Source organism: Homo sapiens, chromosome 16, assembly GCF_000001405.40.
Source record: "Homo sapiens chromosome 16, GRCh38.p14 Primary Assembly".
NCBI classification, from domain to species: domain Eukaryota; kingdom Metazoa; phylum Chordata; class Mammalia; order Primates; family Hominidae; genus Homo; species Homo sapiens.
This window is the reverse complement of record NC_000016.10, coordinates 89,788,601-89,815,255: the sequence shown is the minus strand read 5'-3', so window position 1 is coordinate 89,815,255 and position 26,655 is coordinate 89,788,601. Positions and strand designations below refer to the sequence as shown.

Sequence of the window (26,655 nt, the reverse complement as noted above, 5' to 3'; positions counted from 1 at the left end):
AGACCAGCCTGACCAACATGGTGAAACCCCGTCACTACTTAAAATACAAAAATTAGCCGGGTATGGTAGCAGGTGTCTGTAATCCCAGCTGCTCAGGAGGCTGAGGCAGGAGAATCGCTTGAACCTGGGAGGTGGAGGTCGCCGTGAGTGAGATCCCGCCATTGCACTCCAGCCTGGACGACAGTGAGACTCCCTCTCAAAAAAGAAAAAAAGGAAAATAGCCCAGTAGGGAAGCATTACTTACACACAGGTTGTGTTTATGCACAGATCTTGAATTTTTTTTATTTTTATTTTTTATTTTCATTTATTTTTTTTGAGACAAAGTCTCACACTGTAGCCTGGGCTGGTATGCAGTGGGGTGATCTCGGCTCACTGCAGCCTCCACCTCCCGGGTTTAAGTGATTCTCCCGTCTCAGCCTCCCGAGTGGCTGGGACTACAGGCACGCGCCACCATGCCCTCCTAATTTTTGTATTTTTAGTAGAGACAGGGTTTCACTATGTTGGCCAGGCTGGTCTCGAACTCTTGACCTCGTGATCTGCCCATCTCGGCCTCCCAAAGTACTGGGATTACAGGCGTGAGCCACTACGCCTGGCCTGGAGCTTGAATTTTTTAAATGGAGTTTGTTGTGTTTTGGATTCTAGGTAGAAGGTCCACTGTGTAAAAAATTGTCTCTCAGCAAAGTGATTGACTGTGACAGTTCTGAGGCCTATGCTAATCATTCTAGTTCATTTATAGGTAAGTTATAGCTTCATTTTCTCTATTTTGAATTGCAGAAGGGTTTTTATATAGTAACCATAGTTTGCTAAATTAAGTAGAAATGTAAATTTTCTCAGGCGATGGGTTTCCACTGGTGTGTGTAGTCGCAAATTCTATGGGATGTTTGTGTGACTTGCTCTTGGGCTTCTTACGATGCTGTGTTTAAAAACAGCGTCTGATTCAACCTGCGACTCAGAAGCAGTAGGACCCAGAGTGTCCCTTGGAAAAACATGGGACATAGCAACAGCAGGGATGTGCCCCTTGCTCATGGAAGTAGTGAGACAGGCTGTGGTGTGCCCAGGAGAGCAGACGGGAGAACAATTTTCTAGGTACCTCCTTCTCCCCCCAGTTTGAGAGTGGGAGATAGGGTAAGTTCTGGGTCAACAACAGTAAGTTATTTTCTGATCCTTCACGTCCTTATGTGATGACTTGTTTCTGTTAAAATAACCTTCAGTAATAGCGCTCCCTTGACAACTGGTCACTGAATGTCATTGGCAAATGATACAGATTTTCACTGCCATGATTGTATTTGAATTTCACAAATTGCATATTATCATTCCAAGGAACCAAGCTCAGCCACACAGATAAACCTTTAATTCATTAATTTTTGAGTTTGTTTTTTTCTGCTAAAGATATAGTTAGTACATGCACGCACGTGCACACGGACACACACACACACACACACACACACAGTAAAAGACTTGTAGATAAAAAAACTTTCCTATGGAGACACATTGGAAACAAATGACTAGAAATTGGCATTGTTGGCCTGGCACAGTGGCTCACGCCTATAATCGCAGCACTTTGGGAGGCTGAGGTGTGCGGATCACCTGAGGTCAGGATTCGAGACGAGCCTGGCCAACATGGTGAAACCCTGTCTCTACTAAAAAACACAAAAATTAGCCGGGTGTGGTGGTGGGTGCCTGTAGTCCCAGCTATTCAGGAGGCTGAGGCAGGAGAATTGCTTGAACGTGGGAGGCAGAGGTTGCATTGAGCCGAGACCCCTCCATTGCACTCCAGCCTGGGCAATAAGAGCAAAACTCTGTCTCAGAACAGAAAATGGCATTGTCTACTTTTTTTTTTTTTTTTAACAGACAGGGTCTCACTCTGTTGCCTGGACTGGAGAGCCGTGGTGCAATCACGGCTCACTGCAGTCTTGACCTCCTGGCCTCAAGTGATCCTCCCACCCCAGCATCTTGAGTAGCTGGGACTACAGGTGTGCGCCACCATGCCTGGCTAATTTTTTCATAGAGACAGGGTTTTGCCATATTGCCCAGGCTGGTCTCAAACTCCTGAGCTCAAGCAATCAGTTTACCTCAGCCACCCAAGGTGTTGGGATTGCAGGCATGAGCCACTGTGCCCCATCTGTCTACTTTTCTACCGAGAATTTCACCAGCAGCTGATGATTTCTCGTACTATAATTTTAAGCTTCTAGAACTATTGTAAAATTTTTTTTTTTTTTTTTTGAGACGAAGTGTTGCTCTGTCGCCCAGGCTGGAGTGCAATGGCGCCATCTCGGCTCACTACAAACTCTGCCTCCTGGGTTCAAGCAATTCTCCTGCCTCAGCCTCCCGAATAGCTGGGATTATAGGTGCCCGCCGCCGCACCCAGCTAATTTTTGTATTTTTAGTAGAGGCGGGGTTTCACCATCTTGGCCAGGCTGGTCTCAAACTCCTGACCTCGTGATCGACCCGCCTCGGCCTCCTGCAGTGTTGGGATTACAGGCATGAGCCACCGCAACCAGCCTGTAAATGTTTTTACTTATGTATTGATAATGTGTTTTTAGAGCCAGTACATTACAATAACAGGTTCGTACTGCAGTTAACAGTTTTTTTTTTTTTTTTTTTTTTTTGAGACGGAGTATTGCTCTTGTTACCCAGGCTGGAGTGCAATGGTGTGATCTCGACTCACCGCAACCTCTGCCTCCCTAGTTAAAGTGATTCTCCTGCCTCAGCCTCCTGAGTAGCTGGTATTACAGGCATGCACCACCACGCCTGGCTAATTTTGTATTTTTAGTAGAGATAGGGTTTCACCATGTTGGTCAGGCTGGTCTCAAACTCCCGACCTCAGGTGATCCACCCGCCTCGGCCTCCCAAAGTGCTGGGATTACAGGAGGGACCCACTGAGCCTGGCCTCCAGTTTTTTTTTGTTTTGTTTTTTTGAGATGAAGTCTGGCTCTGTCGCCCAGACTGCAGTGTAGTGGCGTGATCTCGGCTCACTGCAAACTCCGCCTCCTGGGTTCACGCCATTCTTCGCCTCAGCCTCCTGAGTAGCTGGGACTACAGGCTCCCGTCACCAAACCTGGCTAATTTTGTTTTTGTGTCTTTAGTAGAGACAGGGTTTCACCGTGTTAGCCAGGATGGTCTCGATCTCCTGACCTTGTAATCCGCCCGCCTCGGCCTCCCAAAGTGCTGGGATTACAGGCGTGAGCCACCGTGCCCGGCCCGGTTTCTTTAAACAATTAATTTTGGCTCACGTGGTGGCTCACACCTGTAATCCCAGCAGTATGGGAGGCCGAGGCGGGCGGATTAATGAGGTTGGGAATTGGAGACGAGCCTAGCCAACATAGTGAAACCCCATCTCTACTAAAAATACAAAAAATTAACTGGGCGTAGTGACGCGTGCCTGTAATCCCAGCTACTTGGGAGGCTGAGGCAGGAGAATCGCTTGAACCTGAGAGGCGGAGGTTGCAGTGAGCTGAGATGGCGCCGTTGCACTTCAGTCCAGGCGGCAGTGTAAGACACCATTGCAAAAAAATAAAACAAAAAAAAATTAATTTTGGAAGACAAATAAATTAGAAAATGATTTCTTGGCATTGCCTGCTTCCAGGTTGCCCACCGTTTCTCACTTTATTGAATGCAGACCAGTGGCTGGTTGCTCAGGAGAATGGTGGCTGCCTGCAGGCTGTTAGTGAGGTTCCACTTGGTGGCCTGCGGACTGAGCACAGCTGTGACTGCACCTGCCCACCAGGTGCATGGCAGAATGTTGGGAAATCCCTGCCTAATTTTATCACAACCATCAATGTGAGTCAACAGGGGCAGGCTTATCTCTGAAGTAATTAGAAAAACAATGTAATTGAAAGAGCCTGCTGCAGTTCTCAATTTATTGTGCTCCTTTGTAAAAAGATGATAAAGTTCTTGGTCAGAATATATTTCTTTATCTTGCTCCTTTTGTGTCATGGGAAACGTAACAAATACCAATGTATAACTCTGGGTTCAGGTGTTGCCACCAGTTTTATTGTGAGCTGCTTGGATCATCAAATTCTCATTTTTATCTCATGTTTTTCCCTTTGCATCTATTCTCCCCGTTTAAAAGGCAATTTTTTTTGTGCTGCATCTTAAAATAAGGCATTTTAAACAGCAAGTCTTTGGTTTTAGATTTTGTCTCATGTGTTAAGAGAAAGCTATGGTTTTGTTTTGTGTTTAAGGCTCTGCTTTGCAGGATCAAGCCTCAAGGCTGGGGGTTCCCGTGGGTATTCTCTCAGCCGGGATGGTTGCCTCTAGCGTGGGACAGATCTGCACGGCTCCAGCGGAGACCAGTCACCCTGTGCTGCTGACTGTGGAGCAGAGAGTAAGACACCAGCAAAGATGAGGAAACCTGCCCGTTGTTACTTTTAAGCTGGTTGGGAAAATAGGACATAGCTTTAGTATTGTTTCAGGTAATTTGTTTTTTAAAAAATGTAATCTCTCTTTTCAGAAGAAGCTGTCTTCCCTGTTAGAGTTTGCTCAGTATTTATTGGCACACAGTATGTTCTCCCGTCTTTCCTTCTGTCAAGAATTATGGAAAATACAGGTAAATTTGAGATTGCAAATCTGACTCTCCAGTGTTCCAGGCAATGTTCTGTTGATCTGGATGGAGGCAACAGAGTACCTGGGTTTTCTTGGGAATTCTCCAAGCTTCTCATTAATTACAGAGAGTGGATGAAAAAGGGTTTAGAAATCATCTGTGGATTGGAAAGAAGTACCTTCAATTGCCATTTTTTGTCCCTATTCACCTATCATTAGTAATATTTATTAGACTAGAATATATTGAAAAACACGTTTAGCCTTGGGTATATTAGTATGGAGAATTTTCCAGGGTAGTATAGTAAACTATTAAAAAAAAATGTATGTAATTTTTTTTTCCAGAGACAGGGTCTCGCCTTGTTGCCCAGGCTGGTCTTTTTTTTTTTTTTTTGAGACGAAGTCTCGCTCTGTCGCACAGGCTGGAGTGCAGTGGCGTGATCTTGGCTCACTGCAAGCCCCACCTCCCAGGTTCACGCCATTCTCCTGCCTCAGCCTCCCGAGTAGCTGGGACTACAGGTGACTGCCACCACGCCCAGCTAATTTTTTGTATTTTTTAGCAGAGACGGGGTTTCACCGTGTTAGCCAGGATGGTCTCGATCTCCTGACCTCGTGATCTGCCCACCTCGGCCTCCCAAAGTGCTGGGATTACAAGTGTGAGCCACCGCGCCTGGCATTTATTTTTATTTTTGAGACAGAATATTGCTCTGCCGCCCAGGCTGGAGTGCAGTGGCGCAATCTTGGCTCACTGCAACGTCTGCCTCCCAGGTTCAAGCGATTGTCCTGCCTCAGCCACCTTAGTAGCTGGGATTACAGGCGCGTGCCACCATGCCCAGTTAATTTTTGTATCTTTTTTTTTTTTTGAGATGGAGTTTTGCTCTTGTTGCCCAGGCTGGAGTGCAATGGTGCTATCTTGGCTTATCGCAACGTCCGCCTCCCGGGTTCACGCCATTCTCCCGCCTCAGCCTCCCGAGTAGCTGGGATTACAGGCATGCGCCACCATGCCTGGCTAATTTTTTTTGTATTTTTAGTAGAGACGGGGTTTCTCCATGTTGGTCAGGCTGGTCTCAAACTCCTGACCTCAGATGATCTGCCCACCTCGGCCTCCCAAAGTGCCGGGATTACAGGTGTGAGTCACCGCGCCCTGCCCAATTTTTGTATCTTTAGTAGAGATGAGGTTTCACCATGTTGGCCAGGCTGGTCTTCAATTCCTGACCTCAGGTGATCTGCCCATCTTGGCCTCCCAAGTGCTGGGATTACAGGTGTGAGCCACTGCGTCCGGCCTTTCCCATTCTTTTATCCAGCATACATTATAGAATTCATTAGATTTTTCAGTTATTGCTTTGGTCCCTGCCCTCATTATCACGTAGCTTGGGAAACAAGCCACTAAATCCACAAGAAGTGCGATGATTCATGTGCTCACAGATTTGCGAAGAAGATGTTGGACATGCATATCAGATTGGAGAGTTAGGAAAGCCTTCCTGCACGGACTGTGAAGAGTGCGAGTTAGGGGCCGGGCCCAGTGGCTCACACCTGTAATCCCAGCACTTTGGGAGGCCGAGGCAGGTGGATCATGAGGTCAGGAGATCGAGCCCATCCTGGCTAACACGGTGAAACCCCGTCTCTACTAAAAAATAGAAAAAATTAGCCGGGTGTGGTGGCAGGCACCTGTAGTCCCAGCTACTCAGGAGGCTGAGGCAGGAGAATGGCGTGAACCCGGGAGGCAGAGCTTACAGTGACCCGAGATGGCGCCACTGCACTCCAGCCTGGGTGACAGAGCGCGACTCTGTCTCAAAAAAAAAAAAATAGAGTGTGAGTTAGGGGGATGAGAAGGGGAGGCTGCAGGGAGATCAGGGCAGTGTGACAGGCACAGTGTTCACAGTGAGTGGCTAAAGCAGATCCTGTTTTATCAAATGGGAGAGGGTTGAGTGAGAAAGACAAGGGACATGCACAGGGCACACTGAAGCCTGACCTTTGTCCTGGCAGCTTCGAGGAGCCAGTGAAGGCTTCTGAAGGAGAGACTGTCATGTCAGTGTGTGTAATACTGTGTTGGCTGTAGTGTGGAGAAAGGGTTAGAAGTAGGCTACAGTGCGTAGGAAGAGAGAAGGAAGAGAAGCAAGTGTTGGGCAACGGTGTGTGGGTGCCCAAAGGCCAGGGAGTTTGAAAACCAGTACAGCTTTGTAAAAAAAGATGTGTTTCAGGCTCTAAGTTTTTGCTTGAGGTTAATTTTCAATACGGCATGGTTAAGAACCTAAGTTGAACATTTTGTAGGAAAATGCATTCATAAAGGACTCAGAATGCTGGGGGTTTTTTTGTTTTTGTTTTTGTTTGTTTTGTTTTGTTTTTCAGAGTTCTTTGTTGCTTGAAGCGGTGTGGCATCTTCACGTACAAGGCATTGTGAGCCTGCAAGAGCTGCTGGAAAGGTAGCGTGCTAATGATGATTCAGTGTTACTGTTTTTGCAGTCTAGTCTAGTATAAATTATATTTCAAAGCCCAGAATCAGACGGGTTTGATTTCTGGCTTTGACATATAATTTGTACTAGACTAGATTGCATTGCATATTTATACTAGACTAGACCTGGAGGAACTATTGCTTTATTATTTCAAGAGAACGTTTATGGTGTTTTGGTTTTGTTTGCTTTTTGTCTGTTTTTTTTTTGAGACGGAGTCTCGCTCTGTGGCCCAGGTGGGAGTGCAGTGGCACGATTTCAGCTCACTACAACCTCCACCTCCAGGGTTCAAGCAATTCTCCTGCCTCAGCCTCCCAAGTCGCTGGGATTACAGGCGCCCGCCACCACACGCAGCTAATTTTTGTTATGTATTTATTTTTTTTAGGGACAGAGTCTCGTTCTGTCACCCAGGCTGGAGTGCAGTGACGTGATGTCGGCTCACTGCAGGCTCCACCTCCCGGGTTCACGCCATTCTCCTGCCTCAGCTTCCCGAGTAGCTGGGACTACAGGCGTCCGCCACCACGCCTGGCTAATTTTTGTATTTTTAGTAGAGACTGGGTTTCACCATGTTAGCCAGGATGGGCTCCATCTCCTGACTTCAGGATCTGCCCGCCTCTGCCTCCCAAAGCGCTGGGATTACAGGCATGAACCACTGTGCCTGGCAATTTTTGTTATTTTTAGTAGAGATGTGGTTTCGCCATGTTAGCCAGGCTGGTGTCAAACTCCTAACCTCAGGTGATTCCCCTGCCTCGGCCTCCCAAAGTGCTGGGATTACAGGCATGAGCCACCTCGCGCGGCCTTTTTTTTTCTTTTTGAGACAGAGACCTGCTATGTCGCCAGGCTGGAGTGCAGTGGTGAGATCTGGGCTCGCTGCAACCTCCGCTTCCCGGATTCAAGCAATTCTGCCCCTGCCTCCTCAGTAGCTGGGACTACAGGCGCGTGCCACCACACCCGGCTAATTTTTGTATGTTTAGTAGAGATGGGGTTTCACCATGTTGGCTAGGCTGGTCTCGAACTCCTGATCTTGTGATCCTCCCGCCTCGGCCTAGAGCAGAATTTCATCTCAAAAAAAAAAAAAAAAAGAAAAACCTGCTTCCTAGGATATACACATCTTATCTCAGCACCAAAATCTATGAAGCAAAAATGGCCAGAATTAAAGGGAGAAGTAGACATTTCAGCAATAATCATTAGAGGTTTCAATACTCCCCTTTCAGTAATGGGTAGAACAAGTTAGATTAAGAATGATATAGAACAGCCGCCCCGTCCGGGAGGGAGGTGGGGGAGTCAGCCCCCCGCCCGGCCAGCCGCCCTGTCCAGGAGGTGAGGGGCGCCTCTGCCCGGCCGCCCATACTGGGAAGTGAGGAGCCCCTCTACCCGGCCACCACCCCGTCTGGGAGGTGTACCCAACAGCTCATTGAGAACGGGCCATGATGACAATGGCGGTTTTATGGAATACAAAGGGGGGAAGGGTGGGGAAAAGATTGCGAAATCAGATGGTTGCTGTGTCTGTGTAGAAAGAAGTAGACACGGGAGACTTTTCATTTTGTTCTGTACTAAGAGAAATTCTTCTGCCTTGGGATCCTGTTGATCTGTGACCTTGCCCCCAACCCTGTGCTCTCTGAAACATGTGCTGTGTCCACTCAGGGTTAAATGGATTAAGGGCGGTGCAAGATATGCTTTGTTAAACAGATGCTTGAAGGCAGCATGCTCGTTAAGAGTCATCACCACTCCCTAATCTCAAGTACCCAGGGACACAAACACTGCAGAAGGCCTCAGGGTCCTCTGCCTAGGAAAACCAGAGACCTTTGTTCACTTGTTTATCTGCTGACCTTCCCTCCACCATTGTCCTATGACCCTGCCAAATCCCCCTCTGCGAGAAACACCCAAGAATGATCAATTAAAAAAAAAAAAAAAAAAAAGAATGATATAGAAGTTGAATGCTGCAAACCAGCTGACCTGACTGACTGTGGAGCACTCTACCCAGTAGTAGCAGAGTGTGTATTCGTAAGTCCAAATGGAACAGTCCCCAGGATACAGCATAAGGTTCAGGCCAAGGCCAGGTGCGGTGGCTCACACCTGTAATCCCAGCACTTTGGGAGGCTGAGGCGGGCAGATCACCTGAGGTCAGGAGTTCAAGACCAGCCTGTCCAACGTGGTGAAACCCTGTCTCTACTAAAATTACAAAAATTAGCTGGGCAAGGTGGCAGGTGCCTGTAATCCCAGCCGTTGTGGAGGCTGAGGCAGGAGAATCGCTTGAACTTGGGAGGCGGAGGTTGTAGTGAGCTGAGATTGTGCCATTGCACTCCAGCCTGGATGACAAGAGCAAAACTGTTTCAAGAGAAAAAAAAAAGGTTCAGGCCATAAAACAAAGAGGAATAAATTTAGAAGGGCTGAAATCATTCAAAATATGTTCTCTAACCACAAATGAATTTAATTAGAATAAACAACAGAAGGGAATTGGGAAAATCCACAATATTTGAAAGTTAACATAATGAGTCAAAGAAGTCACAAGGGAAATTAGAAAATAACTTGAGACTGGGCACAGTGCCACACCAGTCATCCCAGCACTTTGGGAGGGCAAGGTGGGAGATTGTTTTGAGCCCGGGAGTTTGAGTCCAGCCTGGGCAAAGTAGTAAGACCTCCAGCTGGGCGTGGTGGTATGCGCCTGTTGTCCCAACTACTCAGGAGGCTGAGGTGGAAGGATTGCTTGAGCCTGGGAGGTCGAGGGTGCAGTGACTGATTGCGCCACTGCACTCCAGCCTCAGTGACAGCAAAAAACTGTCTCAAAAAAAAAATTGGGACATATGGCTCAACTCAATCCCCTGATGATGGGATTTAGTTGAGCCTTACGTCTGCCTCTGTGTGTGTCTCCAGCCATCCCGACATGCATGCTGTGGGATCGTGGCTCTTCAGGAATCTGTGCTGCCTTTGTGAACAGATGGAAGCATCCTGCCAGCATGCTGACGTCGCCAGGGCCATGCTTTCTGGTGCGTTCATGACAAGATGCGGGTTCTTGGGTAAAACTCATTTTGATCTGTGATAATGCCTTCTGCTCTCAAGAGCTCTGCGAGGCAGAACAGCCTGTCTCTCCGTGGCCGTGGGAACCTGGCATGACAGACTCCCAGTCTCAGCCTGTTGTGGGGTTGCATTTTACTTGACTGATGTGGAAATACTAGTAAGTCGGCCTTGACATGAGTTTAAGTGTTTCCATTCACCTTTCCCATAGAGTGACCGCAGCTGCTTCCTTCTGTCGCCCAGGCTGGAGTACAGTGGCGCGATCTCAGCTCACTGCAACCTCCGCCTCCTGGGTTCAAGTGATTCTCTGCCTCAACCTCCTTAGTAGCTGGGACTGCAGGCACGTGGCACCATGCCCGGCTAATTTTTTTTTTGTATTTTTAGTAGAGACGGGGTTTCATTAGGTTGGCCAGGCTGCTCTTGAACTCCTGACCTCGTGATGCACCCCCCTCGGCCTCCCAAAGTGCTGGGATTATAGGCGTGAGCCACTATGCCTGGCCTTCCTGAGGAATGATATTATGAGAAAAACTTGGGACTGTAATGTCCCCCCACAAACTAAGAAGGTGCTGAGAGACCAGAGGATGGCTCAGACTAGGGACCAACCCAGTTTGAGGAGTAGTTGGGTTTGTCAGAAGATGGCTTGGACCAGAGTCCAGCTTGAGGAGTAGTTGGGCTTGTCAGAGGATGGCTCGGACCAGAGTCCAGCTTGAGGAGTAGTTGGGCTTGTCAGAGAATGGCTTGGACCAATCCAGCTTGAGGAGTAGTTGGGTTTGTCAGGACTTATATTCAGCGCACTCCTGGACGGCGGCAGGACAGCTCTAGAGAACCGCCCCACCACCTGTCTCTAAGGTGCATTGAAGCTCGTTTTCTGGCTCTTTGCCTGCTGTGTTTGAGTGATGAGACTCTTTTCCTTGGTGAGTTCTCAGATCCTCTCTGGGATATTTGGGTTCTGAGGAACACCTGCTGGGAGACCCATCCCACTACAAGTGACACCTACAAATAAAAATTAGATGAGAAACTGATCTGTACAGTAGCTTGTGGGTTTTTTCCTTTTTCCTAAAGCTTTTTGGTGGCATGAGCGACTTAGCATTCCTGAGCTACTATAACCTGGTACCAGATAGGTTAAATTTAAATCAAAGTTAGAAAATCTTGTGGATTTCAGTCCTCTTGGTCTTATTTTTTAAAAAGCTAAGAATGCCTTTCCTCCCCCATCACATTCCTCAGAATAGGATGCTTCTGGGTCCCTCTAGACCCTCTGGTATTGGAGATTGGCAGGCAAGACAATCCATAAGACCTCCCTTGGAAACCACTTTTATTTAAGAGAAAAAAATTGGGCTGGGTGGGGTGACTCATGCCAGTAATCCCAGCACTTTGGGAGGCCAAGGCAGGTGGATCATGAGGTCAGGAGTTCAAGACCAACCTGGCCAAGATGGTGAAACCCCATCTCTACTAAAAATACAAAAATTAGCTGGGTGTGGTGGCGGCGCCTATATTCCCAGCTACTGGTGAGGCTGAGGCAGAGAATTGCTTGAACCTGGGAGGCGGAGGTTGCAGTGAGCGAGATCATACCATTGCACTCAAGCCCAGGCGACAGAGCAAGCCTCCGTCTCACAAAAAAAAAAAAAAAGAAAAAAATCTGACTATAAACTTGTTCCCTTTCAAATAGAAGTGCAAGAGGAAAAAATCTGGTTCATCTAAGGGTCCTGATTGGGTTTGGTGAACGCTAGTGTAGCTGTGGTCAGGTGAGCAGTAACTTCTGCAGCGTTCCTCAGGTTAGGAGCAGCTCACAGGGGTCCTGGTGGGCCCAAGCCATATGCTCACCCGCCCCTCTGAAGTGGATGGTCTGTGCCATTCACAGTTGCTTGGAGACCATGATGTCCATAAATAACTTTGGTTTTATGGTTTTTCAGATTTTGTTCAAATGTTTGTTTTGAGGGGATTTCAGAAAAACTCAGATCTGAGAAGAACTGTGGAGCCTGAAAAAATGCCGCAGGTAGGAGGAAAAGTCAAGTGAAGAGTTTAGCGGAAGGAGCCGTCCTTATTCCAAGTGTTGAAATGTATTTACGTGTCTCTCTATTGAAACGTGCTGTTTGTACCTATTTACGGGGTACATGTGATACTTGTTTTGTGCATAGAGTGTAATGATCAAGTCAGGGTGTTTAGAGTCTCCGTCACCTCCAGTATGTATCATTTCTGTGTGTTGGCAACATTTCACATGTTGCAGTTACTTTGAAATATACAATCTGTTGTTAACTATAGCCGCCTCACTCTGCTGTGGAACATTAGAACTTACTTCTTCTGTCTAGCTGTATGTTTGTACCCATTAACCAACTCTCTTCGTTCCCCCACTGCATATACCCTTCTCATCTCTGGTATCTCTCGTTCTACTCTCTACCTCCACAAGAGCCACTTTTTAGCTCCCACATATTTGTGATAACATGCAATATTTGTCCTTCTGTGCCTGGCTTATTTCACTTAACATAATGGCCTTCAGTTGCATTCCTGTTGCTGTGAATGACAGGATTTCACTTTAAAAAAAAAGAATAGCTGGCCGGGCATGGTGGCTCATGCCTGTAATCCCAGCACTTTGGGAGGACGAGGCGGGCGGATCACAAGGTCAGGAGATCGAGACCATCCTGGCTAACATGGTAAAATCCCGTCTCTACTAAAAAAATAGAAAAAATTAGCCGGGCCTGGTGGCAGGCACCTGTGGACCCAGCCACTCAGGAGGCTGAGGCAGGAGAATGGCGTGAAACCTGGAGGCGGAGCTTGCAGTGAGCCCAGATCGTGTCACTGTATTCCAGCCTAGGCGACAGAGACTCCATCTCAGAAAAAGAAAAAAATAGCTGAGGTTGGGCTCAATGGCTCATGCCTATAATCCAGCACTTTGGGAGGCTGAGACTGGTGGATCCCCTGAGGTCAGGAGTTCAAGACCAGCCTGACCAACATGGTGAAACCCTGTCTCTAGTAAAAAAAAAAAAAAAATAGCCGGGCGTGGTGGCACATGCCTGTAGTCCCAGCTACAGGCGTGGAGGCAGGAGAATTGCTTGAACCCAGGAGGCGGAGGTTGCAGTGAGCCAAGATTGCGCCTTGCACTCTAGCCTGGGTGACAGAGCGAGACTCCGTTAAAGCTGACCAGTATTCCGTTGTGTGTATATACCACGTTTTCTGTATCCGGTCATCTCTTGTTGGGCACACAGGTTGATTTCATATCTTGGCTATTGTTAATAGTGCCACAATAAATGTAGGAGTACAGATGTCTCTTCAGCTGGCTGATTTCCTTTCCTTTGGCTGTAAGCCCAGTAATGGGATTGCTGGATCATATGGCAGTTCTGGTTTTTTTTTTGTTTTTTTGTGTTTTTTTGAGACGGTGTCTCTCTCTGTTGCTCAGGCTAGAGTGCAGTGGCGCGATTTCGGCTCACTGCAACCTCTGCCTCCCAGGTTCAACCGATTCTCCTGCCTCAGCCTCCCGAATAGCTGGGATTACAGGCATGCACCACCATGCCCAGCTAATTTTTGTATTTTTAGTAGAGGTGAGGTTTCACTCTGTTGGCTAGGATGGTCTCGATCTCTTGACCTCATGATCTGCCTGCCTTGGCCTCCTGAAGTGCTGGGATTACAGATGTGATCCACCATGCCTGGTGAAAGTGAGACCCTCTGGGCTGGTAGTTCTGTTTTTAGAACTACCCAACTATTTAGAAATCTCCATACTATTTTCCATAATGGCTGTATTAATTTACATTCTCACTGATAGCATATAAGAGTTCTGTTTGCATTCTCACCAGCATTTGTTATTTTTTGTTTTCTTGATAATGATAATTCTAACTGGAGTGAAATAATAGCTCATTGTGGCTTTGACTTGTATTTCCCTGATGATTAGTGACATTGGCTTTTTTTTTTTTTTTTTTGAGACAGAGTCTTGCTCTGTCGCCCGGGCTGGAGTGCAGTGGCGCGATCTCGGCTCACTGCAAGCTCCGCCTCCGGGGTTCACGCCATTCTCCTGCCTCAGCCTCCTGAATAGCTGGGACTACAGGCGCCCACCACCACTCCCGGCTAGTTTTTCTATTTTTAGTAGAGATGGGCTTTCACAGTGTTGGTCAGGCTGGTCTCGAACTTCTGATCTCATGACCCGCCCACCTTGGCCTCTCAAAGTGTTGGGATTATAGGCGTGGGCTACCGTGCCTGGCCTTTTTTTTTCTTTTTTCTTTTTTTTTTTTTTGAGATGGAGTCTTGCTCTGTCTCCCAGGCTGGAGTGCAGTGGTGCCATCTTGGTTCACTGCAAGCTCCGCCTACCGGGTTCAAGCTATTCTCCTGCCTCAGTCTCCCGAGTAGCTGGGACTATAGACACCCGCCACCGCACCTAGCTAATTTTTTTGTATTTTTAGTAGAGACAGGGTTTCACCTTGTTGGTCAGGCTGGTCTAGAACTCCTGACCTCAGGTGATCCACCCACCTCGACTTCCGAAAGTGCTGGGATTACAGGCGTGGGCCACAGTTCCCGGCCTGTTTCTGGGTTCTCTATCCTGTTCCGTTGGTCTGTGTGTATGTTTATATCAACCTCATGCTGTTTTCATTTCTGTAGCCTCGTAGTATATTTTGACCTCAGGCAGTGTGATTTCTATATTCTATAGCTTTGTTCTTTTTCCTCAGGATTGCTTTGCTTATCTGTGTTCTATTTTGGTTCCATGTGAATTTTAGAATCTTTTTTTCTATTTCTGGGAAGAACGTTATTGGTATTTTGATAGGGATTGCATTGAATCTGTAGATAGTTTTGGATACGTCCCAAATTTTTATTCCCTTTTGGAGGTTCCTGAGCCAGTGGCTCCCATTTTGCCTACACTGCAGTCTGTGGGCTTTGTTTGAGGAAGTCTGTTTTATTGTTACCATGAGTTGCTCTCTGAGTAGTGGTATGCTTTAAGCCCAGGAGATGTGAAGAAGGGAAATGGACAATGGTACCTTCTCACCGTCTTCTGGCTCCAGAGGCATCAAGGGTGAAAGTCCTTAGTTCCACAGCCCAGATTCAAGGCCTGAGCTTTCCTCTCTTCACTGAAGTACTTCAGCAAAACTCTGCGTGCAAAAGTGTCCTGCCCAGCCCTAGGCTCATGGCCTCAGGCCATGCTGAGAGCAGTCTTAGGGTAATTCCAGAAAGTTCAGCCTTTTCACTCTGTCTAGGTCCCTTCGGTACTGGAGTAATTTCTAGGTCTATGAGGGTTTTTAAAGTTGATCTCTTTGTAAAGTCCATTTCTTTTTCTTTTTTCCGAGACGGAGTCTGGCTCTTTCGCCCGGGCCGGACTGCAGTGGCACTATCTCAGCTCACTGGAAGCTCTGCCTCCCGGGTTCACGCCATTCTCCTGCCTCAGCCTCCCGAGTAGCTGAGACTACAGGGCGTCCGCCACTGCGCCCGGCTAATTTTTTGTATTTTTAGTAGAGACGGGGTTTCACCATGTTAGCCAGGATGGTCTCGATCTCCTGACCTCGTGATCCGCCCGCCTCGGCCTCCTGAAGTGCCGTTTCTTTACTTTAGAGTAACAAGTAATAATTCTCTTGTGTGATGCAGGTATCACACAAATTACAGAAGATTACCAAGATGGTAACTCACATTCTATTTTGACAGGTCACGGTTGATGTACTGCAGAGAATGCTGATTTGTAAGTTAATTGCACTGCAGCCCAGACTGTAAATGACTTAGTTTGCTTATTAGCAATTGTATCAGTTTTCTGCCTTTCCATTTGAGGTATTTCTCCTCTGTATGTTTCACTGTGCAGAGTCCTGGTACTGGAATGCCCTTGTTTTGGCATTTTCAGAGCTGTGAAGGGATACCTCATGAATCTGTGGGTCACAGGGAAGCATTTTCTTGTCTGTGTGTTTTGATTAAGGCCTACAGATTGTAGAAGTCTTGATGGATGTGGGCCCTCTGGGGGGTTGAAGTGGATCTGTTGTCTGAAAGCGCCTGGGGATTGTTTCTGGTGGGCTGCCGCCGTGTGCTGACATCTGTTTTCTGTTCCTGGCTCTGTCTTCAGTTGCACTTGACGCTTTGGCTGCTGGAGTACAGGAGGAGTCCTCCACTCACAAGATCGTGAGGTGCTGGTATGTTCCTGAGGGTGGCCTGCCTGAGTGTGCAGCAGGGAGGTGTCTGCCAAATTAAAGAGCCAAGATATTTTAAACACTTCCAGAGCTTCAGCAGCCCGCTCCTGAGCACACTTCCTCTGCCAGTTACGATAACGTGCGTGAGGAGGAGGCGACCATGGGAAAGCCCGGGGAACGCTCTGGTCAGCCTTTTCCTGTGAGGATGAGGTCGGAAGGTGCGCCCACTGCAGTATCCTGTTCCGCCTCTGGAAGTCCTGCACCAATGTTTGTCCCACTCACTGTGACCTCCTCCTGTGTGGAGTCTCCCCTTGCTCCTCCTTCCCTGGGTGTGATTCAGGCTCTAGAGCTGGCCCTGCCTCTCAGCCCCCCACATTTCTAGAACACACTGTAGCTGTGCCTCTACAGACTCCCGCTGCCTGGCCTCCACAGATCCTGCTCAGATTCACCAGTAGGCAAAGCTTGGCCCTATTAGCTTTTTCTCTCCATGGCTCTGTGGAGATGTGCGGAGACCCTTACAGGTCGGGAGGCGGAAGCTGAGGAGTGGGGGCTGGGTGGAAGGTGGACATCGGGGTTTGGTGGAAATGGGGCTCTGGGGTTTGCTTCCCTCTAGTGTGGGCAGGGGACCTTGAAGTGAAGTCTTGAGAAACCAGTAGAATTTGCCACTGTTTCCAGGCCTTGTCAACCTTTTCATTCTTTATTTTGCTCCTCATTTCCCATCCCTCACAGTAACTGTTTAACTGCTCAATTAAATGTGTTGTACCGTTCGGTACTTTTACTGAAACAGTGAATAAAGCACTGTGTGATTTCCTGAATGTTTACATGTGCATCAGTTAGCTTGGGCTGCTGTAACAAAGTGCCAGAGACTGCGGTGTGGACGGCAGATGTGTTCTCACAGCAGTGGAGGCTGGAAGTTGGAGGTCAGGGTGCCCCTAGGGTTGGGTTCTGGTGAGGACCCTCTTCCTGGCTTGCAGGAGACCTACTTTTTCTGTGTCTTCATGAGGTAGAGAGGGGAGAGCAAGCCCTCTGGTGTCTTCTCCGGGCAGTCATCTCATCATCACCTCAGCCTTATCAACACCCCACCTTGAGAGGCTGGGCTTCAACAGAGGAACTTTGTGGGGATACAGTTTAGTCTGTGGCAAGGGCTTTTTTTTATAATCTGTGTGATAAGATTACTCACACTGATGTCCTGAGAGTCAGGTAACAACCACTGACCTGCCGATTTTTATATTTTGTAATTAGTTGCCAATTATTTATTTATTTATTTATTTTTGAGACAGAGTTTTATTCTTGTTGCCCAGGCTGGAGTGCAGTGGTGAGATCTCTGCTCACTGCAACCTCTGCCTCCCAGGTTCAATCAATTCTTCTGCCTCAGCCTCCTGAGTAGCTGGGATTACAGGCATGCACCACCACACCTGGCACAAGCCTATAGTTTTGTATTTTCTATTTTTAAGTAGACATGGGGTTTCACTATATTGGTCAGGCTGGTCTCGAACTCCTGACCTCAAGTGATAACACCCACCTCAGCCTCCCAAAGTACTGGGATTACAGGCGTGAGCCACCGCACCTGGCCTGCCAATAATTTAAAATCAGACATCCTCCAACAGTCTTGGTGGCCAGCTTCCCTTGCACACTGGGGGCTGTGGTGTCCCAAAGCCCTGCCCTGTGAGGAAGGACAGCAGGGCTGAGAAGTGAATCTCCACGATGTCCCACACCCTGTTGTGTGAGTGTCTTGAGTTTGCACAGAGCCGACGTGGCCTCGTTGGGTGTGTGACCCTGGGGCAGTTCACTGAACCGCCAGGACCCTTGATTTTCTTTCTTTCTTTCTTTATTTTTTTGAGACAGAGTCTCACTGTGTCGCCCAGGCTGGAGTGCAGTGGCACGATCTCGGTTTACTACAACCTATGCCTCCTGGGTTCAAGCGATTCTCCTGCCTCAGCCTCCCACATAGCTGGGACTATAGGTGTGTGCCACCATGCCTGGCTAATTTTTTTTATTTTTCTTTTTTTGAGACAGAATTTCGCTCTGTCGCCCATGCTGGAGTGCAGTGGTGCGATCTCTGCTCACTGCAAGCTCCGCTCCCTGGGTTCACACCATTCTCCTGCCTCAGTCTCCCGAGTAGCTGGAACTACAGGTGCCCACCACCATGCCCGGCTAATTTTTTCTATTTTTTTAGTAGAGATGGGGTTTCGTTGGGTTGGCCGGGATGGTCTCGAGCTCCTGACCTTGTCATCTGCCCCCCTTGGCCTCCCAAAGTGCTGGGATTACAGGTGTGAGCCAATGCGCCTGGCCTAATATTTTGGTATTTTTAGTGTAGATGGGGTTTCACCATGTTAGCCAGGGTAGTCTTGATCTCCTGACCTTGTGATCTGCCCGCCTCAGCCTCCCAGAGTGCTGGGATTACAGGCATGAGCCACCGTGCCCGGCTGGACCCTTGATTTTCTTACCTGGGGAATCGGCATAAAGTGCCGCTTGCTGGTTGCAGGTTGTAAGCCTCACGAGAGGGTCTGGGTTTGGTTTGGTGGTCTGTATAGGCCTGCTGGGATGTGGCAGGCTAACAGACCTCAAGTGCTCTTGCCACCTGGCTCTGTGACCCCATTCACCCCCAGAACATCGTGTTCTCTCACACAGATGGCCCAGGAAACCTTAGTCCCTTCCATTCCTTCCTCATCTTCATGGACAGAGCTGGCCTCAGTCCCTGTTGTGACTGTTTGAGGCCCTGGTGTGCTGGGCTCTTCTCTCAGGCTTGGCACGACCCTCTGGGGGAGTTCCGTGTCACAGAGGGTGCCGCTGAGGCCCCGTCGGGTTGGCTCCCGGGGCTCCACTCCCGGGTGCGGCGCGGCCTGCCCTTCCCAACCTGTTTCCTTCTGCTCCACTCCCGGGTGTGGCGCGGCCTGCCCTTCCCCACCTGTTTCCTTCTGCTCCTTCGCTTCTCTGCTCCGTGGGTTTCGCCGTTGCCTTGCCCCCTTTCTCGTTGAACTGCCACCTCCTTGGATTCAGTTTCAAGTCTGTGGTTATAGTGGCCTGGCCAAGAAAGCCCCTTCCTTGCTTAAAGAAGGGATGAGCCTGAGCCACAGTTTGTGCTGGGATTGGTGGGTGGCGTGCAAGGCACCCTCCCTTTCCTGACCCCTCTTTCTGCTGCATTGGCAGGTTCGGAGTGTTCAGTGGACACACGCTTGGCAGTGTAATTTCCACAGATCCTCTGAAGAGGTTCTTCAGTCATACCCTGACTCAGATACTCACTCACAGCCCTGTGCTGAAAGGTAGGCCCAGTGTGGAGGCTGCTCAGTTGCTACCCATTTTGGGGATTGCTGTTGCCTTGTTGCCTTGGTAACGCTGACTGGAGATGCCAGGAATTCTAGGACCTCTTTTACGTCTGTCTTGAACCAGAGACTGGGTCCTCAGATGCCTGAGATTGTTACTAAATATCCTTTTACCTGAAAGCAACAGATTTTTATAAGAAAATTCAGAATTATGAGTGGACAAAATAATTGTCATTAAAATAGAAATATCTTTTTTGTTTGTTTGTTTGAGTCAGAGTCTCACTCACTTGCCCATGCTGGAGTGCAGTGGCGTGATCTCAGCTCACTGCAACCTCTGCCTCCCAGGTTCAAGCAATTCTCGTGTCTCAGCCTCTCAAGTAGCTGGGACTACAGGCGCCAACCACCACACCCGGTTAATTTTTTGTATTTTTAGTAGAGACTGGGTTTCACCATGTTGGCCAGGCTGGCCTCGAACTCCTGACCTTCGGTGCTCCACCTGCCTTGGCTTCCCAGAGTGTCGAAGTGTTGGGATTACAGGTGTGAGCCACCGCACCCAGCGTAAAATAGAAATATCTTTATTTTATTTATTTATTTATTTATTTATTTATTTATTTATTTATTGGAGATGGAGTCTTGCTCTGTTGCCAGGTTGGAGTACAGTGGCGTGATTTGGGCTCACTGCAACCTCCACCTCCCGGGTTCAAACCATTCTCCTGCCTCAGCCTCCACAGTAGCTGGGATTACGGGCATGTGCCACCATGCCCGGCTAATTTTTGTATTTTTAGTAGAGACGGGCTTTCACCATGTTGGCCAGGCTGGTCTCGAACTCCTAATCTCAGGTAATCCGCCCGTCTCGGCCTCCCAAAATACTGGGATTACAGGCGTGTGCCGCTGTGCCCAGCCGCTGTCTAGTCTTTTAAAACTTGGTGTTTGAGCATGCACATTCTCCTTCTGGAATACCTGATCACCCAGCACAACTCACGTTATCTTTCTGCTGGCTACCCTTGCCTTGCTGTGACTGTGTCATGGTTCTCAGCTAGACTCGGTGGCGTGTTTGATGGCCCAGGCATCGTCTGCCCAGTGGGTGTCCTGTTACCCATGTATGACAGACTGTACCCAAGATATCAGTCTTACGAATAAGGCCACGATGAACACTTTGAGCTTTTTCTGTATCTAGCATATCCCCAGGGTAGATGCTCAGGCAGGAAACTGGTGGGAGATGAGGGATACACAGATGGCTCCCAACAGGTGCTGTGAGGTGCTCAGGAGTTTATCATCACTTGACTGAGCTGAGCTTCCTTTGAACAGCATCCCCACCATGATTGGTTTATTCCCAGTTTATCTTATTTTATGTATTTATTTATTTTTTTGAGACAGAGTCTTACTCTGTTGCCCAGGCTGGAGTGTGGTGGTGCGATCTCAGCTCACTGCAACCTCTGCCGCCTGGGTTCAAGCTATTCCCTGCCAAGCTTGAATTACAGGCGCCTGCCACCATGCCCAGCTACTTTTTGTATTTTGAGTAGAGACAGGGTTTCACCATCTTGGCCAGGCTGGTCTAGAACTCCTGACCTTGTGATCCACCCACTTCGGCCTCCCAAAGTGGTGGGATTACAGGCGTGAGCCACCTAGCCTGACCTTACTGACAGTTTAAAAGCAGGAAAATTGAAATGCAGTTGGTACATTGGAAAATATTTATTGTGAATATGACAAAGCATTACAAGTAAGTAACCGGGCCTGAGAAACAGAATTGATGATATAGCAAATAGGCAACAAACAGGGAGATGGTGAACTTTAATAACTGAAAAAGTACATATTAAGATCTGTCTTCACACTGAAGCTTTGAAACACAACTTTTTGGCCAGGAGCAGTGGCTCACGCCTGTAATCCCAGCATTTTGGGAGGCTGAGACGGGCAGGTCACGAGGTCAGAAGTTCGAGACCAGCCTGGCCAAAAGAGTGAAACCCCATCTCTACTAAAAAATACAAAAATTAGCCGGGCGTGGTGGTGGGCGCCTGTAGTCCCAGCTACTCGGGAGGCTGAGGCAGGAGAATCGCTTGAACCCGAGAGGCAGAGCTTGCAGTGAGCCGAGATTGTACCACTGCACTCCAGCCTGGGTGACAGAGTGAGACTCAGCATCAAAAAAATAAAAATACAAAAAGTATCTGGGTATGGTGGCACACGCCTGTGGTCGCAGCTACTTGGGAGACTGAGGCAGGTGGATTGCTTGAGCCAGGGAGGTCGAGGCTGTGGTGAGCACTGCACTCCAGCCTGGGTGATAGTGAGACCCTGTCCAAAAACAAAACCTGTGGGCGGCAAGCCACCCAGGCACCAAGGCAAGAGACCGAGGACACGAGCTGTTCTAGTATAATAAAATATAAAACAAGAATAGTTATACCAGATATAGATCTTAGATATGATTACATATGAATATCATTAATCATTAGTTGGTAGTAATTACTGTTTATTGCAATATTATAATAATCCTCGCTCTATAATCATAACCTAGGAAAAGCCAGGCCATACAGAGACAGGAGCTGAGGGGACATGGTGAGAAGTGACCATAAGACAAGAGTGTGAGCCTTCTGTTATGCCCGGACAGGGCCACCAGAGGGCTCCTTGGTCTAGCGGTGACGGCAGCGTCTGGGAAGACGCCCGTCACCAAGCGGATCGTGGTCCAGCGGTAGCAAAAGGTGTCAAGGAACACCACTCACTACTTAGACCGGGAAAGGGACTCTCCCTTTCCCCCCGGGAGTTTAGAGAAGACTCTGCTCCTCCACCTCTTGTGGAGGGCCTGACATCAGTCAGGCTCACCCACAGTTATCCGGAGGCCTAACCGTCTCCCTGTGATGCTGTGCTTCAGTGGTCACGCTCCTAGTCCACCTTCATGTTCCATCCTGTACACCTGGCTCTGCCTTCTAGATAGCAGTAGTAAATTAGTGAAAGTACTAAAAGTCTCTGATATGCAGAAATAATGGCATAAGCTGTCTTTGTCTCTATCTCCTCTCCCTCTCTGCCTCGGCTTCCAGGCAGGGAAGGGCCCCCTATCCAGTGGACACGTGACCTTACCTATCATTGGAGATGACTCACACTCTTTACCCTGCCCCTTTTGCTTTGTATCCAATAAATAACAGCACAACCAGACATTCAGGGCCACTACCGGTCTCCGCGCATTGATGGTAGTGGTCCCCCGGGCCCAGCTGTCTTGTCTTTTATCTCTTTGTCTTGTATCTTTCTTTCTACACTCTCTCGTCGCCGCACACGGGGAGAGACCCACCGACCCTGTGGGGCTGGTCCTTAACAAAAACCCACAACTTTTTGATCTCTGACTTGAAGTTTTTGTCTGTTTCTCCCCCTGCAGCATCTGATGCTGTTCAGATGCAGAGAGAGTGGAGCTTTGCGCGGACACACCCTCTGCTCACCTCACTGTACCGCAGGGTGAGTGGATGTGGTATTATACCTGCTTCTGAGCTCGTGGCGGGGGGATTAAGATCTGCCTAGTACTTGTCATGCTGCCTGCCGTGGACGGCACATCGAGAGGTTCAGGGATGTCTGGTGAGATGTGGCTGTCCTCATCAAGGCCACCACTCAGGTCAGGAGACTGAACTTGTCCCTTGGGCCGAGCCCCTCCTCCTTGAGATAGGGAGAATTCTCTCCAAGCAGGTGCTGGCCACTGTGAGGGGAGAGACGCCACGGTGTGAGCTGTCACAGCTCCATGTGTTACCTTTGCAGTGGGAAGTGAGGGGGCTGCGGTGGCCACCGGCTGGGAGGAAGGTGAGGGGTCATCTGTCGCACATTGGTTTGCTTGGATATTGAAGGGAGCGGATGCTTTTATTTCAGCTCTTTGTGATGCTGAGTGCAGAGGAGTTGGTTGGCCATTTGCAAGAAGTTCTGGAAACGCAGGAGGTTCACTGGCAGAGAGTGCTCTCCTTTGTGTCTGCCCTGGTTGTCTGCTTTCCAGAAGCGCAGCAGCTGCTTGAAGGTGAGCTTTTACGCGAGCCCGGTGGTGCTGGTCAAGAGTGTGTGTAGGGGGGTGTCAGCAGAGTCCCAGCTGACTGTGGGTGAGCCTCTCAGTGAAGCCCTTCCCTACCTGCCCGGAACCTGCAGTGCCTCCTGTCGATGGAACATTCTTTGTCAGACGCTTCCATAAGCACTGACTGCTGCTCTGAGAGGCCAGAGTGTCCACTGCTGCTTCATTCAGGTCTCTAGTGGTTTGCACTTGACATGCTGTAATTGCTGTGTAGTCTTTTAAAACTTGGTGTTTGGGTGTGCACAGTCTCCTTCTGGAATACTTGATCACCCAGCATAACTCACGTCATGTTCCTGCTGGCTGCCCTTGCCTTGCTGTGACTATGTCATGGTTCTTAACTAGACTGGGTGGCGCGTTTGATGGCCCAGGCATTCGAGAGCTGCCAGCTGGACAGCATGGTCACTGCGTTCCTGGTTGTGCGCCAGGCAGCACTGGAGGGCCCCTCTGCGTTCCTGTCATATGCAGACTGGTTCAAGGTAAGTGACCTGCCAATCGGCTACCTAATACCTGATCTTCCCAGAAGGCCTGGGAGTGGGGACCATGCTGTCCCCACCTGATTCTCTGTCATGTGAGTGAGCAACCTTGCTGTCAGCTTTGCCGAGTGGCCTTGGCAGATCTTCCTCTGCGTGTGCCGAGGAGCCTGGGTTCTCCCTGTCGGGGCCTCAGCGGATCTTCCTCTGCATGTTCCGAGGAGCCTGGGTTCTCCCTGTCGGGGCCTCAGCTCCTTCCCCTGGTTTCTGTCTCACTTAGTTGACGGAGCCTCCTGCTGTCTTTTATAAGAAAATTAGCGAAATCAAGCCTGGACACCATAGTGAAACCTCATCTCCACCAAAAAAAAAAAAAAAAAAAAAAAAACACACACACACACACACAAAACAAAAACTACGCAGGTGTGGTGGCAGACACCTGTAGTCCTCGTTACTCGGGAGGCTGAGACGCAAGGATTACTTGAGCCTGGGAGATCAAGGCTGCAGTGAGCTGTGATTGCACCACTGTACGCCAGCCTGGGTGACAGAAGGAGACTCCATCCCAAAAAGAAAAAAAAGAAAATGAGTGAAATCAGGAAAGAGGGGACACAGAAGTGGATGCTGCTTTTTGCAGAGTATACAATGTCTCTTATTTTCCCTTTTTTTTTTTTTGAGATGGAGTCTTCCTCTGTCGCCCAGGCTAGAGTGCAGTGGTACAGAAAGCTCACCTTCTCGGCTCACTGCAAACTCCGCTGCCCCGTTTCAAGCTATTCTCCTGCCTCAGCCTCCTGAGTAGCTGGGATTACAGGTGTGCACTACCATACCCAGTTCATTTTTGTATTTTTAGTAGAGACGGGGTTTCACCATGTTGGTCAGGCTGGTCTCTAACTCCTGACCTCATGATCCGCCCGTCTTGTCCTCCCAAAGTGCTGGGATTACAGGCATGAGCCAGCGCACCTGGCCTTTCCTTTTTATTTATTTATTTATTTATTTTATTTATTTACTTATTTATTTTTTTGAGGTGGAGTCTCATTCTATCACTCATACTGGAGTGCACTGGTGCGACCTCGGCTCACTGCAACCTCCTCCTCCTGGGTTCAAGCAATTCTCCTGCCTCCGCCTCCCGAGTAGCTGGGGTTACAGGCGTTCGCCACCACACCTGGCTAATTTTTAGTAGAGACAGGGTTTCATCATGTTGGTCAGGCTGGTCTCAAAATCCTGACCTTAAGTGGTCCGCCTCCCTCGGCCTCCCAAAGTGCAGGGATTACAGGCATGAGCCACCGTGCCCAGCCTTGCGTCTCTAATTTTCACGTAAGTCCTGAAACAAGTACTTCATTTCTTCAGCCGTATCACATATTCTTCCTTTTTCTTTGGAACACACACAGTGTGCTCTCTGACAGAAGTTTATGCAGCTGTTCCTGAACCTAAGTGGGCATTAGACTCGCCTGGAGGGGGCTTTGGAAATAAAGATCCAGGGCCCATTTGAGACTACTGAGTCTGAGCTCCTGAGACCTCAGGGATCCCTGGGCAACCCCTGTGAAAACCCCCAGTTCATGTGGGGAGTTGGGTGTATTTGAGATATCAGCTTTGAAGGACCGCCATGGTTTCTCTTTTAGTGCTTGTGAGTAAAGTTTCCATTTGAAGAGCTAATTTTTGTAGAAGTTTTGGGTTCGGGCCAGGTACAGTGGCTCATGCCTGTAATCTCAGCAGTTTGGGAGGCCTAGGCAGGAGGATTGCTTGAGCCCAGGGGTTCAAGATCAGCCTGGGCAGCACAGTGAGACCCCGGTCTCTACAGAATGTAACAATTAGCTGGGTGTGGTGGTAAGCACCTGTGGTCCTGGCTACTTACCGGCTGAGGCAGGATGATTACTTAAGCCGAGGAGGTTGAGGCTGCATTGAGCTGGGATTGCATTACTACGCTCCAGCCTGGGAGACAGAGCAAGACTCTGTCTCAAAAAAAAAAAAAAAAAAAAAAGTATTGAGTTTTCCTGCCATCACCACCTCGGTGAAGTAGTTGCCTCTTTGTAGGAGTCTCAGCTCCCTGAAATTTTCAAGGGCTGCGGTGCCTGCATCGCCATCGTGGCTGCGGTGCCTGCTCCCCCCCCAGGCCTTCTGAGGAGCTGAGGCTGCACAGGAGGCTGAGCCGCATCTGCTTGTGTTGGGAGAAGGTGGTGACTGGTGCAGTGTCAGTGTCAACTCACTTCTATTCCTTAAAGTTCCTTCTCACCTGCCCTCAGGCTCTCCCCAGCTCTGCCCAGTTAGCCTGGGGCTTCCACTAAACTAAGAGGAGAGGTGTTTGTTCTGTCCTTTTAGTGAGGCGCTGAGAGATTTGTGCCAGAATCCACCTGGTGCTCTTGGGTCAGGAGTTGATGGGTCTCCCCGAGCCGCGGCTCAGGTGTCTCCCTGGGCTGCTTTTTCTTCGGTTCCAGAGGCGACAGTTGGGAGAGGAATACTCTGAAGTGCTGTGTTGGTGGTGGTGTTTTGGTTTTGTTTGCTTTTCTTTTACCTTTTCAAATCAACTTTATCAAAATATAGTTTAAATGAAATAATGAAAGGTATCCAATTTAAGTGTACCATTAAATGAGGTTTTTTGTTTTTTTCTGTTTGTGTTTTCTTTTAAGAGACTGAGTGTTGCCCAGGCTGGAGTGCAGTGGCATGATCATAGCTCACTGCAGCCTTTACCTCCTGGGGTCAAGCAGTCCTCCTGCCTCCGCTTCCAGAGTAACTGGGACTATAGGTGTGTGCCACCACACCCAGCTAATTAAAAAAAATTTTTTTGTAAATACAATGTCATACCGTGTTGCTCAGGCT

General features: G+C 48.7%; 1 protein-coding gene across 4 annotated transcripts in view, besides 1 other annotated feature; it reads left to right on the top strand.

The window, feature by feature from the left end:
* The window catches only part of FANCA (FA complementation group A), a 79,099-nt gene that overhangs the window by 1,392 nt on the left and 51,052 nt on the right, over nt 1-26,655 (top strand). For 2 of the 4 annotated variants that reach the window (NM_000135.4, NM_001286167.3), the window contains exons 3-14: nt 643-736; nt 4,185-4,327; nt 4,454-4,549; nt 6,889-6,962; nt 9,864-9,976; nt 11,915-11,997; nt 15,618-15,651; nt 16,024-16,090; nt 19,238-19,350; nt 22,709-22,785; nt 23,188-23,329; nt 23,720-23,853. In NM_000135.4, the coding sequence (NP_000126.2) occupies nt 643-736; nt 4,185-4,327; nt 4,454-4,549; nt 6,889-6,962; nt 9,864-9,976; nt 11,915-11,997; nt 15,618-15,651; nt 16,024-16,090; nt 19,238-19,350; nt 22,709-22,785; nt 23,188-23,329; nt 23,720-23,853 (1,170 nt within the window). Of the gene's footprint in view, nt 1-642; nt 737-4,184; nt 4,328-4,453; nt 4,550-6,888; nt 6,963-9,863; nt 9,977-11,914; nt 11,998-15,617; nt 15,652-16,023; nt 16,091-16,176; nt 16,903-19,237; nt 19,351-22,708; nt 22,786-23,187; nt 23,330-23,719; nt 23,854-26,655 lie in introns of those variants that run through there. The other 2 variants (NM_001018112.3, NM_001351830.2) reach the window with 2 other exon arrangements.
* Nucleotides 8,190-8,712: an enhancer, noted in NCBI's record as "NANOG-H3K27ac-H3K4me1 hESC enhancer chr16:89872952-89873474 (GRCh37/hg19 assembly coordinates)". NCBI's record gives its function as "activates a minimal SCP1, AML or CMV promoter by ChIP-STARR-seq in naive H9 embryonic stem cells {active_cell/tissue: H9 hESC(naive)}" and the evidence as "EXISTENCE:reporter gene assay evidence [ECO:0000049][PMID:30033119]".